The 16,929-nt window shown below is 43.5% G+C and overlaps 1 protein-coding gene and 1 long non-coding RNA gene across 34 annotated transcripts in view; one reads left to right on the top strand and one right to left on the bottom strand.

The window, feature by feature from the left end:
- Nucleotides 1–16,929, bottom strand: part of PPFIBP2 (PPFIB scaffold protein 2) — a 153,306-nt gene that overhangs the window by 60,747 nt on the left and 75,630 nt on the right. For 25 of the 31 annotated variants that reach the window (NR_147792.2, XM_011520415.4, XM_047427751.1 and 22 more), the window contains 2 exons: nt 13,334–13,426; nt 8,885–8,998 (listed from right to left, as the gene is read on the bottom strand). Coding sequence is in view for 30 of the 31 variants with exons in the window: in XM_011520415.4 (XP_011518717.1) it covers nt 8,885–8,998; nt 13,334–13,426 (207 nt within the window). In the remaining variant the exon portion in view is untranslated. Of the gene's footprint in view, nt 1–542; nt 825–8,884; nt 8,999–9,184; nt 9,370–13,333; nt 13,427–16,929 lie in introns of those variants that run through there. The other 6 variants (XM_011520418.3, XM_047427753.1, NM_001256568.2 and 3 more) reach the window with 2 other exon arrangements.
- LOC105376535 (uncharacterized) overlaps nt 8,877–16,929 on the top strand; it is a 28,817-nt gene continuing 20,764 nt past the window's right edge. The window contains exons 1-2 of one of the 3 annotated variants that reach the window (XR_007062577.1): nt 8,877–9,460; nt 13,565–16,452. This is a non-coding gene — a long non-coding RNA (uncharacterized LOC105376535). Of the gene's footprint in view, nt 9,461–13,564; nt 16,453–16,929 lie in introns of those variants that run through there. The other 2 variants (XR_007062579.1, XR_007062578.1) reach the window with 2 other exon arrangements.

Below are 16,929 nucleotides of genomic sequence, written 5' to 3'. Positions count from 1 at the left end.
AACAGAACATTTACTTATTCTCTTCTAGCTTATATCTATTAGCATGTGCTTCTACCTTTCATGATCATCTTCCCCTTGCCCCTGTCATGATTACTGTTTTGGTCCCTAAACTCAAAATCAGCCTTCAACAAACTTATCCCAGTCCAGCTCTACTTCCCCATCTCCAGATCCAGCAAGGCCCGTAGCCACTATTATGAACTGTGATCTCTAAAATGTGTGCTTTAATAGGAGTTAACTTATCCTACATCCTCAATTGCTCCTTCTACTTCCAACATAAAGTGAATCATGTTTTTTCAACAATATTACACATTCTTCCCCGTCATTTCAATTGGAGACCACTCAGCTTCCACCAACCCAACTTATAGAACACTGTGCTCCCTATTCCAGGGCTGCTTCCAAGCCAGTATTTTGCCCCCCGACCATCTGCATCTATCCTGCTATTCTAAGACAGTGCTCTTCACTTATACCACATTCTCCCCAAACCGAAGGAACCAACCTACTTCCTTCAGGCTTTTGACTTGATCAACAGCTTTTCTACCTACTTTAGGCGCACTCCGTCTCCTCAATAGCTTCCACATCCTTGTTATTAACTTTCCCATTCAGTATCCACTCTGGCTTCACATTCTTTGACCTCAGCTCCAACAGGCTTTGCTTTCCATTTCGTTCAGCTTCTCAGTAGCACAGTCACCACTTGGATCTCACGTGTATCCAGAATGTGTTTGCTTTGCTTCTAAAATCTTCAGCTCTGAAATTCTCTCCTCTGGCCACAATCTTCTGACCTTTCATCTGTCCCACTTGCTCACTCAACCTCTAATTTCTTCTGCGGCCACTAGTTACTTAGTAACTCTATTTTCCTGGTTTATCAACTTCCTTGAAGCAACATTGTTCTCCTTATCAACTCTGTACCTTGAGGTGAGTCATTCCAATTGTATTCATACCACAGCAGAAAATCCTCATGGGATCTCATCCCTGTAACAGGCCTCATGTGCATTTGTTAGTCTTTTGTCGTGATTCCACTCTCCACAGCTTAAAAATTGCTAGTGAAAGGCAATTAATGATGCCAGTTGGTTTCTGTACAAATTTGTGCTATCTAATTACAGCTGATCTTCCAATACTGCCTGGCAAAACTTGTGTTTGTCTCTGGCTGACTCCTTTCAGGAACTGTTCCAAGTCTTTTCTGTTCTGCTCAAGCCCTAAACCCCTACCATGTCTCCCTCTTCTCCTCAAATAATCTCTCCTCGTATTTGCTGAAAAGATAAAATGCATCTGTTCACTGAATGTAAGTTCTATTTCAAAGTTTCCTAGCATCATCTCTCATTCATATATCTTAAATCCCTGTCTTAGAAACAGCAAGCCCATAGTTCCTTTCCAAGGATAAACTGCGACAATTGTACATTGCCATCTTTTCTGCAGGGTTCTTTCACCTTTGAAAACTGTTCCCTAGTTCAGAATACTTCCAGGTGCACATAAAAAGTACCCATCAAAGGATACAATGCTTCCAGAATTTGCTCCTGAATTGCCCCTGACTGACCTTCCCATTTCTGGCTATTTCTCAGTCTCCTGACTCTTCATACATTCCCATACAACTTGATAAACCTTACGGTAACTTCCTGGTCAACCAGCAGCCTTTGGCTCTGTTCTCTGAGTTCTGGTCCTGTTTCTCCCTCCAGCTGGTAACTCAGAATGGCTCCTGCTCACATGGTCCTGGACTCTCCCTCACTTCTGTACTGCCTTTGAGTAAGTTCCCACCAAGCTCTGTGCTACTCTAGGTTAGGGCCATCAATCATCTACTCTGGCAGGCATTTAATCTCTCCCTCACCATCAGCTCCCAATCCTCAGGCTATAAACATGATCAAATTTCTGACATTCTAAAGAAACTTCCGTCTTGACCTTGCCCTCAAAGCTAACACCGTCAACTCCCATGTCCTCTTGCTGGACAAATGCATGGGTGTGGGGGTGTGTGTGTGTGGATGGGTGGGTGAGTAGGTGTGTGTGTGGGGTGTGTGTGTGTATGGCTGGGTGAGTAGGTGTGTGGAGGGTGTGTCTGTGTGTATGGGTGGGTGAGTAGGTATGGGGGGGTGTGTGTGCGTGTATGGGTGGGTGAGTAGGTGGGTGTGTGTGGGTGCATGTGTGTGTATGTGTGTGTCACTCCTCAACAAGATTTCTGCCTGCCTGAACCTGGCTTCTGCCTTCACCAACTAGGGCACAGAAATAGTCCTGGAACCAATGTACAAACTTTGAGATGCAGCTTGCATTTCTCAGATCTTAACTGTCTCGCCCTTTATCCACTCAATGTAAGGTACTCCTAGCCACCCCAATCTTCCTTGCTCTCGGTTTTCCTGACCTTTCTTTTTTCTTCTCCATTTTCTTTGCTGGCTGCCTTTATTCTGTCAATCCTGTAAGGAAAACATTCTTGGAGCCCTTAATCTCATTCTCACCCAAGACTGGAGTCAACTCTGATCCAGGCTGTCTGGAGCACCCACATCCTCGCCAGGCAATGCTTGCCCCCTGCTGAAGGCTTCCTGACCTTCATGGTGGAATCCTGCTGGAGTCATGCAGCTACCGCAGTATATGGGGAGGGAGTTGAGGGGAGGCAGCGAGCTGAGGATAAGGGGCAAAGGCTTCACAGGCATCATTCTGCTTCTGCTCCCAATTGTTTGAAGGTTCCCTGTGCAAATAAGGAGGGAGGTGGTCTGGGGGAGGGTGGTTTGTTTTACTTACTGTGATGGACCATGAAACTGGGTAATAAAGGTTTAGAAAAAAAATCAATGGACAAAACTGCCACTAACCTTTTCAGAAGGACAAATACTTCTTCTAAGAGATGAAAGAAAGTTTATATCTCGGAGCAACTCATCATTTCCTTTTTCCAAAACTCAGGCTCTGACTAAAGCTGAAAAAAAGAATTTGCCTTTCAACCTATTCTCTCCTTAAAGGGCCACATCTTGAAGCAATTACCTCCATCTTTAAGTGTGGAATATGACCCAGGGTGTTACCGACCAATGACAGAGGACTGCAGCCAGACTGGCAACCTGAAACCAGAATGAAAGAGTGGGCCATGGAAAGGCATGAAAGGAAAAATAAGTCTCTTTGCCCTTTGAAGTAAAAGGCCCAGGTCTTGCAGGGAAGTCTCTTTCATGAGTAACACTGTGCAGAGAAGAGGTGCTTGTAGTCAACTCGAGTTTGAGGCCAGGCTCAGTCCTCACTAACTCAATCATCTCTCTGAACCTCACTCTTATCTGTAAAATGGAGTTAAAGTATCTACTTTGCCCTGTAGTCTGGATTCCCAACATCACATGGGATAAGCATGAAGAAACTCATTAGCTCATAGATCCCCAGAGGGAATTTTGGGGAATATTTGAAAAATTCCTGTTTTCTTCACTTCTGAATCACTGTCTTACCCACCTCAGACAGATTTGTGTTCCCACCGGAACATGTACACAGCTCTGTTTAATATTCTCTTTGAGATAGAAATACCTGCTTAAAGGCTCTCCTGGGAAGTTTACCAGCCATCTACTAGGCCTGTGTCTTAGGCTCAGTGTCTTGACTCACTGTGTGATAGCTCATGCTTAATAACAGTGGAATAACTTTACTATAACTCTGAGAAGTAAGAGGTAGGCAATACAGAGTCCATATTGTCATCCTCATTCTCTACTAATAAGGAAACAGGTACACTGACTTTCCCAGATCAATAGCAAATAGCAAATCTATAGAAACCCATATCCATGAACTCTTAATCCCCTATATTTGTCACTCCCCAACCTCACCTAAAAGTAAAAAAAATGAAGTTGCCTAAACCCTGAAGCTCTGGGTCGGTAGGGAGGATAGAAATAGAGGCTGGTGTTGTCCAAGGTTTCCCAAAAGCAGGATTATGCCCTTACTTGCTCCCCACAGTCCTCCCTTTCCCTGTGTTGTTTTGACATTGAACATTGTTTCTGTTTACATTGATTATATCTGTAAATGGCCAGTCTCTGGAAAATGCTCCATTTGACCACCAGCTCCATGTAAAACCTCTTATCCACCGAGTAGCATCAGCTTCTTCCTCCTCTAGAGAAGGGTCAGTGATCAGAGGCAGAGGAGCTTATTGTGCAGGAACCTACTAGACCCCAGTGAGCTCACAGTGGCTACTTTAGAAAATGCCACCACAGGCCTCGATTATATCACAGACCAGGGAAACCCTCCCCATGATACAGAGATTTTTGTTGCCAGCATAGTTTGAGGCAGTCACAAGAACATCGCTGGTCCATGCCGGAAACCCTAGTGTACAATTCTGGGCCCTGGCCTCTGATAGCCTCACTGTGCAGCTGAGCAATGCCTTGATCTGCTTAAGGACCAAAGAGGCAGAGCCCAGCACTGTGAGTTCTATTTTCAGGCTCAGACAATACCAGACCAGTGAAAACTGACTCAGACTGTCCCTCCCTTAAAGATCCTTTTGAGAAATGACTCTTCTTTTTTTTTTTTTTTTTTTTTTTTGAGTTTCATTCTTGTTGCCCAGGCTGGAGTGCAATGGCGTGATCTTGGCTCACTGCAACCTCCGTCTCTCGGGTTCCAGCGATTCTCCTGACTCAGCCTCCCAAGTAGCTGGGATTACAGGTATGTACCACCACACCTGTCTAATTTTGTATTTTTAGTAGAGACGGGGTTTCACCATGTTGGTCAGGCTGTTCTCGAACTCCTGACCTCGGGTTATCCATCCACCTCGGCCTCCCAAAGTGCTGGGATTACAGTTATGTACCACCACACCTGTCTAATTTTGTATTTTTAGTAGAGACGGGGTTTCACCATGTTGGTCAGGCTGTTCTCGAACTCCTGACCTCAGGTTATCCGTCCACCTCGGCCTCCCAAAGTGCTGGGATTACAGGCATGAGCCACAGCGCCTGGCCGAGAAATAACTCTTCTTAATGGGGAAAGTTTCCTGGGCAATCCAGACATGCTCAGTGAGTCTAAGACCACATCTGACTAGGTGCTTCCATAGGCAGTCCTGAGAGATGCTTGTAGCTGTCTATGTAGACAGCTACAAGGTATGTCTATATGTGTATGTCGACAGCTATGAGATGCTTGTAGCTGTCTGCTTGTAGCAGTCCTGAGAGATGCTTGTAGCTATCATGTTCCCTTCCCATCCCACATCCTGCCGTGGGCTGCAAAACAGAAACATTATTTTGCCCTGAAAAGTGTTCATAATCTAGGTGGGCTCATGTGGACCTGCCCCTTTGCTGGCTCTGGTTGGTTCTGATTTGCCTGTCTAACCCCAAGAGAGGTCTTCTTGCTCTTTCTGGAGGCTGGATGAGTTCATGTGTAGACAAAAACAGATGGGAGTTGGGAGGTCAGCCCTGAGCAGCGACAGACTGAGGATGTTGTGGTTGGGGATACAGTGAGTATATTGTTCATGAACTAGGTAAGGAACTAACTCCTCACCTCTTGTGCTCCTGGAGGAAGGTTGACATTGGTCAGGAGAGCAGCATGGAGAGAGACAGCTCAATGGGGTTCTTGGAGCCCCTTTAAGCACAAGGTTTGGGCTATCCTCATTGATTTGGCTTTCCCCAAGTCCCCCTGGAGTTATTCCAGCCTGTAGAAGGGGCCAAGTCTAGAGCAGAGGTTGCAGATTGGAGGCCTGCAGGCCAGGCTTGACCTATAGGTATGTACTGTATGATTCACACAGCATTTTAAAAAACTTAAATTAGCTGCTAATATTTTAAAAGCAGAGATCCTTAACTCTTTAGATCTGGATTTTGAGTCTCTTGTGAAAAATGAGAATATCTAGCATTACCAGGCCTACATGGGCAGTCAACTGGAGTAGAACAGCAGCTGCTGCCTTCAGACAGGATGTCTCCAGCATGCAGGGTTATCAGGAGCAGCAAACCCCGAGGAAGCACCTTATCTACAGGCAGTTAGAAGGGCGCACACTGAGACAGTGAAAGGATTTCCTTCAGAGGCTTTGAGCAGCAGGCTCGCCTTGGCTCCAGGCAGGAATGGTTTCTGAGGCTGGCAGAAAGAGGCAATTGTTTGCCTCCATTCTCTGCCTCTAGGCCATGAGTCATTCTTGCTCCTACCACCAGAAGCCAAGGGCCCTGCAGCCCAGGATATCTCAGTCAAATCAGGCAAGTGTTTGCCTGTCCCTAGCTCAGAGAATACACACATACTCCAAGCCAGAGATATTGCATCAGCACTGTGGTGCAAGAATCAAGTGTCTTCACAAACAGCATCAAACAGACTTCAGGAAAGCAATAGCATGTGCGGCCGAACATTCAACTTTGGATTTAGATCTGGGAACTCAAAAGATCTCAAGCTCTGGTGCCACCCAGCCCAGCGAACACATGAGTGGAAGATGAGGCTCAGATGTGTCCTATGGCTTGAACTCAATTTGTTAAGAAAGGAGCACTGCACACTGCTATCATTTGACCCTTGACAGTTTGAGAGAATACAATGAAAGCTTATGGGCAGAAAAATAACTTGGTCAAGTTCAGGAATCTTTGAAACTCAGAAGTGGCTACCATACTCCAAAATATGCCAGGTTAAGACATCTACCCTCTATGGCACATGGTACCACACGCCCAATACCAAACCCACAGCACACAGGAAAGAGGGTTTAGAATAAACGGGCTAAAAAAGGTAATTGAGGCCGGGCGCAGTGGCTCACACCTGTAATCCCAGCACTTTGGGAGGCCAAGGCGGGTGGATCATGAGGTCAGGAGATTGAGACCATCCTGGCTAACATGGTGAAACCCCGTCTCTACTAAAACTACAAAAAAAAAAAAAAAAAAAATTAGCCGGGCGTGGTGGCAGGCACCTGTAGTCCCAGCTACTTGGGAGGCTAAGGCAGGAGAATGGCGTGAACCCAGGAGGCGGAGGTTGCAGTGAGCCGAGATCGCGCCACCGCACTCCAGCCTGGGCAACTGAGAAAGACTCCGTCTCAAAAAAAAAAAAAAAAAAAGTAATTGAGTTTATGACTTTAAAAAAGTCTAAAATGCCATCCATGGGATGATGTTTAGAGGAACTAGACAGCCTCTCCCCAGGTGGTGCTGGGCATCACAATCAGACTCCTTGACACAGAGACTTTGACAATGGAGCAGAAACACTGTCATAGAGAGCTATGTAGAGAAGGCTCAGAGAAGCCAGCACAGGCAGTCAGATAACTCAGGCACTACAATGCAGCATTCTGTTGACCTCTGATTATGTGGTTACTCTCCCAGCATAGCCTTCCTGAAACATCAACCTTCTGACACGTTCCCTTCCGTATTCAAATGTTCTTGCTCTCTTTCTGGATTGTTTACACCATTCCATCATCTTCTTCCCTTATCCTTCTCACCTCAAAAACACACCTTGTGCAGACTTGAAAACACAATCTAGTAGGTTGTTTTCTGCACTCTTTGTGAAAATACTTTCATCATTTGAGATTTTTTTCCATCAGGCTATTTTCTTTCCTGGGTCTTCAAAAGAAAGATTCAATTAAAAAAAAAAAGCCTCAATTCCTTTTGCTAGTCAGATTTTTAGGAAATATTATGAACAAGAGAAATGGCACACAACCTAAGTAGAAAATCAAATGGCGCCAAGAATGTGGTAATTTATTAATCAGCAATGAAAAGATAACAAACAAAAGTTCCTGAATCATTGAAACGGGTTTTTATGAAGACATATATATAAAAACACTGACTTACATTTGTATAAAGTTCTTCAAAGGCACTCAAACAAAACTAACAAACACCAGATTAATTCTCATGACATTTGTCATGAGACCAAAGGTAAAATGCAAAGCCTGTGTTCACCAGTATGCTGTCAAGAAACAATCTGAGTCTTATGCTGATCATGACAATTAAAAAAAAAATGCTAGCGCTTTTGGAGGAAAGATTATAAGTAGTCCTCTAATTGAATCCACTCATTTTAAGGAACAAACTTTTGTTCTTTAAGTAATTGTGAGTACCTTTTATGTGCCAAGTACTATGCCAGGAGTTATAAGGCATACACACATAAACTTCAGTCATTGTTTAATTTTCAAGATAACTTAAAATGTAAGAATGACTTAAGGAAAATTTAAGATTAGATATATTAATACATTTCATTTAAAAACCTAATTCGCTTCTCAACAAATTCTGAAGTTTTGATACAATAAAAATTCAACACCCCTTCCTAAAAAATTGTAGCTCATTATTTATAATACAGTAAAAATATTTAGGAATTGAAAAAAAGTTAAGTCAATTCTGATACTTTTACTAAGAAAATCTATTATAGGTGATAGTAAAGATGACAATACAGCAAAAATTTTAAATGGGAAAAATATAATATTAAGCATACAAAATCTGAGGACTAAATTGCATATCTCTTGTGATTACAGATTTGGAAAGTACATGTACACATAACAAGGACAAAAAGAAAACAAGGAGAAGACATTATTTGAATGGTAGGGAACAGTTAAATATCTTTTTCCATTTTGATATCTATTAAATTATACTAAAAGGTTATTTATATAATATTTTTATTTTAAAAACTATATACAGTAGGAAGAGGCAGAGCGAGATGGGAAAGGGGCATAGAATCAGCTGAGAATTGACTTTCTAAAACTCCAGATGGCACCCACAGGATGAGGGTGAGGCCCCCAGCCGAGCGCTCCCTCACTGCACCAGGTCTGGAGAAAGTGCTGTCTGGGAATCTGTCTAACCAGCTCAGCAGGTTATTCATCTCAGGGCAGCCCTTCCCTTCCCTACCCCCTCTGCCACTCTCAACGTTCAGGTTGGTTTCACCTGCTGTATAAACACCGTACAACTGAGCAGCCAATCCCGCCCCCAGGCAGGATGGGAAAGCAGACAGCGAGGGCTGTAGCCTGGGCACACAAAGGGGCTTCAGCACATGAGCTGCTTCGGCACCCAAGGGCCTTCAGTGCACCCGCCCTTACCTGTTGAAGCATCTCTTCAGCAGCATTGAGTTTCACCTGGTGTCCTTCCAGACACACTTCCAGGTCTCGAATCTTTTCTCCCTGGGCTTCTACTTGGTCTGTGAGGACACTCACCTGTTCCAGGAAATAAAGCAATGGTGGAGGACCAGGGATTTGACATGGTGCAGGAAAGCCTCCCCACCTCAGGGGAGCCGTTAAATCTCACCACTGACTCTTACACACAGTGAACGATTTTGATTTTTGCTGAGTGGCAGGTGGAGGAAGTGTCCTGAACGAAGGCAGCTGCAGTTAGATTCTTACCTTACCAGGGAGTCTCGGCCACTGCTCTGATGACATGGGTCACGTTTACTGCTCTTGATAGACTCAAGAGTAAAACACCCAACAGCCACAGGAGCTGCCTCTGGGCTGGACTCCTGCTCCTTATTCCTCTTCCAGAACAGCCCCGACCTCAAGGCACATCTCAGCTGGCTTGCCAGCACTTCTGCAACCTCGTGTGGAAGAGCGGTCCAAACTTCATGGAAACTAACCAATGACCTTACCTCTCTCATAAGGGTGTGAGGACTGCTCACCTATCAGGTGAGTGTTTTGATGCAATTAAGGAATGTGGGCTGTAAAGGGCATGTATTAGCACTGACAAAACTTGGCTCCAGAAAGGTTATTGTGCTTCACAGGCCAAAACATGACTCTAAGTCATAAATATAGAGAAGCCACATTACACATACGGTGGCAGAAAAAAAGTCATCTTTCTGAAGAACGCTGAGAATCCCTATTAAAAATATTAATTAGTAAAAACTCATTTACAGGAAGTCATTCAAATTATGCACTAACTATATATTAACAATGGTTTTCATAGCCTTCTCTATTAGCAAACGGCCCCAGGATCCTTTTTCTTTATTAAGAGATGGTTCAAAGCAAGAAGAGAGAGAATGAGTGTCCTCCCCAAAGTGAAGAAATTAGCAGTTGATAAACTGAGATCCTTTAGACCTTTTTGGTTAGAGTTGTTGCCATTTACATATAGATTATCCAGAATTATTTCTCAGTCTGAAATGGAATAATAGATGGTGCATGAGTTGATGTGAATTCATTTATGAGTGTTTAGATAAACTTTCTGAATTATAAAGCGCCTGTTTAAAAAGGAACTAATCTAAATTAATATGCCTACTTTAAGATCTCCATTTTTATTTTCCCAAATGATTAATGAATTATTGAAACATATTCCTGGAGTTGACACATGGTTAACATTCCACTTTTAACCAAAAAAAATGTTAAAAAAAAAAAAAAAAACAAGAACGGGCTCTTTCTATCAACTTGGTCCACCTTACACGCAAACCTTTGTGGGTGGGTGTTTATTAATCCCTGTGGCCCAACACTCTCAGCCATCCTGAACTAACTCTACTTTCAAAAGGGCAGGACTCTGGGGGTGGGCTTTGCTCACTGGAATCCAGAGTTTCTGTTTGTGAAGGATGTTTTCTGGTTAATCTTATTATGAGGGTTAAACATTTCTATGGTCTATACCATGCCTTGAGGCCATGTGTTGGTGATACTCAAGGAATCATAGGATCTCTAGCATTCTATAGCTAATTGTTCAGCTCCAGGGGCTTTCTGAACCTCAACGCTGATTCTAAGTATTACAAATGAAGGGATGTAGGAAATCCAGACAAAATACATAAAGGTCATAAAATGTGACCTTTGTTCACTAAAAACAACTATTTTTGAGACCCTAATAGATGCTAGGCATAATTTTAGGTACTGGAGGATACAGAAGTTAAAAAAAAAAAAAAAGGATAAAAATCCTTTTCCTAAGGAGTTACATTATAATGAAGATACAAGAGATTCTGGTTTTGTTTTTAACTAATCCTAGAAACAAAGTATTTTGTTATGTGTGATTTGCCTTGTTCTATGAGTAGAACCAGGAAAACTTTCTGGGCCAAGGACTCTAAATTAATTCAGTCTGGCTAAGCTGCTGTGTGCATTAAGCAAGAGGCTCTACCCTGCTGAGAATCTGCCTAACCAGCTCCACTGCAGAACAGCAGTGATCACTTAACAGACACTCCTGGAGTCTGCCCATAAGCTCCCAGTAGAGTAGAAACTACTAGGGTCAACTTCTGACTTTACTGGCAAGCAGCTTCCCAATTGTGTTAGGATTATTTAAATGGGGATTATTCAAGAATTTGGAATTTTAGAAAACTATGAATGTGAAAGGGAGCATTATTACACAGGACTTTGAAAAATTAAATTGTAATCCTCTGTAAATAGGAATGTGCTATTTCAATCATGAAGGGTCCTGGTTCAAAAGTTTGCAATTTCATACTGTTTGCTGCAAAATCTTACATTGGATACTCTTTCATTAATCATGTCATTGGGATAAGAGTTTCAAATTACACATCCCTCAAACATCTGTGCTACAATGTGCTATTCAATCTGGCCCTTGCTACCTTTCTAAAGGCAGCTCGCACCACCCTTTTGAGCACAGACTGCAGGCACAATGGCCACTTGCTGTTCTTCCCACACCCCAAGCACACTCTTGCCTCAGTGTGTGGGCTGGACTGACTGCCTGCTCTGCCTGGAATGCACTTCTCCAGGTATCTGCATGGCTCCCTCCTTGGCTTCCTCCTGTAAAGGAGATCTTCCTTTTACTACACAATCCTCATCCTGCTTTACTTTTTTCCAGCGTTCTTACCAGCACCTGAAATAGTTAATGTATTGGCTTATTGTCAATTCACACTCTCCTTTTTCTTTTTTTTTTTTTTTTTTTTTGAGATGGAGTCTCGCTCTGTTGCCCAGGCTGGAGCACAGTGATGCGATGTTGGCTCACTGCAACCTCCACCTCCTGGGTTCAATCAATTCTCCTACGTCAGCCTTCCGAGTAGCTGGGATTACAGGCACCCATCACCATGCCTGGCTTATTTTTGTATTTTCAGTAGAGACAGGGTTTCACCATGCTGGTCAAGCTGGTCTCCAACTCCTAACCTCAGGTGATTCACCTGCCTCAGCCTCCCAAAGTGCTGGGATTACAGGCACCCATCACCATGCCTGGCTTATTTTTGTATTTTCAGTAGAGACAGGGTTTCACCATGCTGGTCAAGCTGGTCTCCAACTCCTAACCTCAGGTGATTCACCTGCCTCAGCCTCCCAAAGTGCTGGGATTACAGGCATGAGCCACTGCACCTGGCCCACTCTCTCTCTTTCAAATGGAAGATCCACAAGAATGGGAATTTAGTCTGCTTCTTTCACTGCTTTATCCCAGCATCTAAAACCAGCATCTCACAAGTTGTAGATACCCAATTATTTTATAATGAAGAAATCAATGAAGTGAAGAAAAATACAAAACTGGAATGTAAAACTATATATTTGGTATGAGCTCAGTTATTTACAATAGAGGCAAAAGAAAAAAAACCAACAACACTGGAAAAAAGGCCGAAGTGTTAACCTGCTTCTTCACATTTTTAGAATTTTAAAGGTTTTTAAAATCATTCATTACCCTTATGTTCATAAAATACAATGAAAGAGTAAAATAAGTAAGGTAAAAAGAGAAAAAACAAACACACTGCCACCTCATAACCTTAGTGCTCCAAGCTAAAGCCCATAGCCTGGGGTGGGTTCCAGGCCCCGCTCAACCCCTCCCTTCATTCTACCACCAGTCTAACTCATCACCCTTTAAGCTTTTAAGGAGCTGGGATTAGGATACTAGCCTTTATATTTTCCAAATCACTAATTAATATCTGATGCATACCAGACCTTGAGTAAATGCTTGCTTAATCAATTTATATTTTCAAGAGCTAACACAGCAAAGTGCTGGGCCTGCTTCTTCAACAGCCTTCTTATGAGAATACCTAACTCTATGTCCTACCAAGGCACACAAACTTTCAACAGCGAAAAAGCTCCCTTGATGATCTTTCTCCGTAAAAGGTTTTGGAGCTCCTCTCTTTCAAGCAAGACAGCTATCAAAGGCTTAGCCCCTGTTACCAGCTCCAGGGGATTTGGCATTAAAGGGATCAGTCTAGATCCAGCTTCAGACAATTTGGACTTGATTCATTAGCATTCACCCTTAGGCCTGTATCACCCACAGCTCTGTTTTATTAGTGGCATGAGGATATATCTCCCCTCCCTCGCAAGACTCAGGAGCTTCTGGGGGACAGGGCCCATTTTGTTCATTCTTAGCACCTGGAAATCAGCCTGGTCATGGGGCTGCCAGTGTATAGAAGCGGGTGCTTGGGAGTGCATGATAAATGAATGACTGAATTCACAGCCCCCCTAAGCCAAGTCTAGAGTTAAATTGTCCCCTCAGTTACTTAATGTTTTATTTCAGGAAAAGTCTTTTCTAAAAACATAGGCATTGGAAGGAGAAAAATTCCAACAGAGAAAATCTCTTGGGCTTCCCTTCCACTTAGGGGAAGCTACATAGTAGGAGGTAACAGGATAAGCCGATTCTCACCAAAAAGTACCCACCTGCAATATGAGGGACTCCTTATCCCCTTCTAGACGTGCCAAGCGTTCCTGGTAGGTTTCATTACTAGCAGCACTGTGGTGGTTTACCTGGGACTAAAGAGGACAGAAAAAAAAGAATACACTTAAAAGGTTGGAAAAACATCTTACCAACTTCTAAATGAAATAAGGGATGCATGTAATTTGTGAGGATAGTTTCACTGATTATATGTACAAAACCAATCATCAAAACAGGAAACCACAAGATTTCAAAACTACCATGAGGAGAACCAGATCACATGCCACTGAAAAGTGCGCCCTGGAAGTTGGCACAACCACCTCCTGGATGACCTCACTCCTGGCCAGGAGGGCCTCTGTGAAACTCTAGGCCCAGCAGTGCTTGACTTGACATGCTGGGTCTGGGTTAGCCAGAGGCACAGCCTCCAGAGGCATGGCGACAATGAGGGTCTGCTCTTTGAGGAGATTGGAGAGCTGGCACCGTTCTCCAAGGGACTACATGGGAACAGCTTCTGCACAGATCTTGGTATCTCCTAATTCTCATGCCAGGGTCCCCTGAAGCCAAGGCACACCTTGCTGCATGGAGGCCCATCCTGAACATCACAGTGAGCATGAAGGATGGAGGATGTCAACTACAAGGCCCTTCATTCACACGTCCCTTCCCACCCCAATCCCACCCTCCAATAAGAGCTTTGGTAGCCAGGCTGGCAGATCACATTTCCCCAGTGCTAGAGCTGAGAGAAGCAAGCTAAGACAAAACATCTTGAGAAGAACTTAAATAATAGCCAGAGGGATGCCAGAGCAAAAGCTAAGGAAATTACAGGTAGCCAGAAACTATAGAAAAGAGAGGAAAGGGAGAGGATGTGAAATGTCAGAGGAGAGGCAGAATCTTACAAATGTCCCAAGCAGAGAAAGGAGGTGTCACTTTCTTGGGTGTGTCTGACCTGGTTGTGGGCAGACAGGAGAGAAGGAGCTAATGTCACCAAGCTGGCCCCAACACCTCCTTCCTCCATGCAAATGGAAGACTGAAATCAGACTGGTCTGCAATAGGCCACCCAGAGGCTTGGCAGTTTGAAAAAGTAGATCTGATTGCTAAATGTGGAACTGAGTATTATACAATCTGAGCTGGTCCAGTGAAATCAGCACTTCAATATTCACGAGGGAGGTGTCTACCACCCTAGAGGAAAGTCTTAATTGTGCAAAGAGGCAGATGTGAGAGACCCAGAGTTGGGCCACCTTGTCCTAGGCCATTTCCCCACATTTCAACTTTTAGCATGGGCTCTCCCACCACCCTCCATGAGAAAAGGCACCTCCTTCCTCCCCTCATCCCACCCCTTCCCAATGCACTGCATAGGTGAGGGAGGCAACAGAGCCATGCCCAGTCCTAGAACAGAAATGTGGACCAAGCATACCGCATTCAAACCCTGGATGCGCACTAGTGAAAGATTCATTGATTGTTTGTTGAAGGTGCAGCCAGAGGACAGGCCCAGGGGCCACTCCCCAGGCCAGCTGTGCCAGGCAGCACCTGCTGCCACACCACTGTCTTCTGCTCCAGCCCCTCTGGAGCCTATGTCTTGTTCATTGTTATGGAAGCTCTTTCATGCCACAGACAAAGAACCTTAACAATCACAACTGACTTCTTTGTTAATGGCAGTTTATTGTTGTTAAATTAATATTCCGGTTCTCACATGATCAAATTCTCTGACTAGAATCCAAGAATATATTATAATCTATATTTTCTCAGAACCAGAGAAGAAAAGGTAGGAGAATAATTCTTAATAGCAGGTCAACTTCTTCTCTGTCAAAGAACTCACATGATGGTGATTTCCAGTGGACAGAGAATTAAACAGGACCCAGGTGTCCAAGTGAAGCTCTGCAGGTAGAACCCCAGTGCCGAAGTCCACATGGACACGGAGCCACCTAGCACTGGCAGCCGCCCATTCTCTGGCAGGAAATGAAGGAGAGAAGACCAAAGGCAAGACTTCTTCCAGAGACTCCAGCAAGCCACTGTACCAACTATGCCTTATTCAAATGGTGTGCAGTATATTCTTCATTATAATAAAAGGTCTACCCATACAATCACCCAGAGAGGTAACTATTTTTACTAGTTGACAAAAAAAAGAGTAAGAAAGTTGAAATCATAAATTCAGTTAATAAAATGTATGACCTAGATTCTATAGCACATGCTAGAAGGGGGATCAAAAATCTAGATCCACGCTAGCAGCCAGTAAAAAAAGAGAGGCACAATCAGTTAACAGGATCCGCAGATCAGTATGGTAAAATCAAATCAATTGCCTAGGAGAAGCATAATTATTCCGGAGCAAGGGAGAAACTTCACGTTTTCATAGACAGATTTTGTGTGATGGGATCAGCAATATCCATGACACCCTTATAGTAAACAGAGCCCAGTAGAACTCATTACTTTTGTGTGATGTTCTCAGAATAGTTCAGAGGCTAGTGGACAATATGGGCCAAAGGTGAAAGCAATTCCATGGAGACTAATATAATATGGTCCAGGCACAGTGCTGTAAATACACAGCAAGCACCTTGTGCTCAACATGTGCCAGGCACTGTTCAGAGCACTTTGACATAATGTTTGAGTTTCTTACAAAATGTTTCTATTGAGTAATTAAAATATATTTGAAAATCTAGAAGCACTGTTAGAGGACCTAGAACAGTGGTTCCTCATATTTGCCCCTCCTATAACAGATTCGAGGAGCCAACTCCTTTCCTAGCAGGCATACTGGTCCATACAGCAGTGGTGTGCATGGCAGACAGGTCCCTCCCCCACCCCAATCACTGTTCTAGAGGAACAGTGCATCTTCCTCTTCTACAGGTCCTTCAAAATCACCGTTCTCCAGCAAGCTTTTTAAAGGTAAACAGCAGTGAAAGATAATGTTCCAGATGGAAACCCACAGTATCACTATCCTTTGCTTTTGATGAAGTCAGAGCCATGTGTTTTCATGATCTATATAGGACTAGGATGTTAAAAAAAACTGCGTTCTTCAGAAGGGCATAGGCCAGGATCAAATGCCACCTCTGCCTGGAGAAAAACTTGGAAAGCATCTGAGAACAGGGCCAAGAAGAGGATTGTCTTGCTGAATGCTAATACTCATCAGCCTAAGGTAAGGATTTGCCTTTGGGTGAATCTGTATATTCTGTATTCTTATAACCTGGCAACAGGTTCAATCACGTTCTGGTATCATTCTTGCATTATAAAATGACTACATCATCAAGGCATAATAAGCTTTGTGGTTATCAAAATGGGATTCCAATTTATTGAGAAAAATATTTTAAAAGACTGAGTTAGGACACATCTCTGTTTTGCTCTACTTTAAAGACAGCTTGCTTGGTCAACAAGTATACCTGCTTCTTTAATAGTGGAATTGCAAATAGAAGGCTTGGATGGATAGTGGATCCCTGCATGATTCCAGGTTTGAGGTGTCTCTGAAAAGTCTTGTCCATGTTCCTGATTAGGTAAGTCAGCGATAGAGCAGTTGCCCAGCTCTCCACGCATGAAGTCAGGTTGCAAAAACCATGCCCACATTTCACAGAGAAGAAAGTCCAATCAAATTCTGAAGGATGCTACGTGCTAATTTTCT

Source organism: Homo sapiens, chromosome 11 (assembly GCF_000001405.40).
Source record: "Homo sapiens chromosome 11, GRCh38.p14 Primary Assembly".
Classification (NCBI taxonomy): domain Eukaryota; kingdom Metazoa; phylum Chordata; class Mammalia; order Primates; family Hominidae; genus Homo; species Homo sapiens.
The sequence above is the reverse complement of the archived record's forward strand: the minus strand, read 5'-3'. Positions and strand labels throughout refer to the sequence as shown.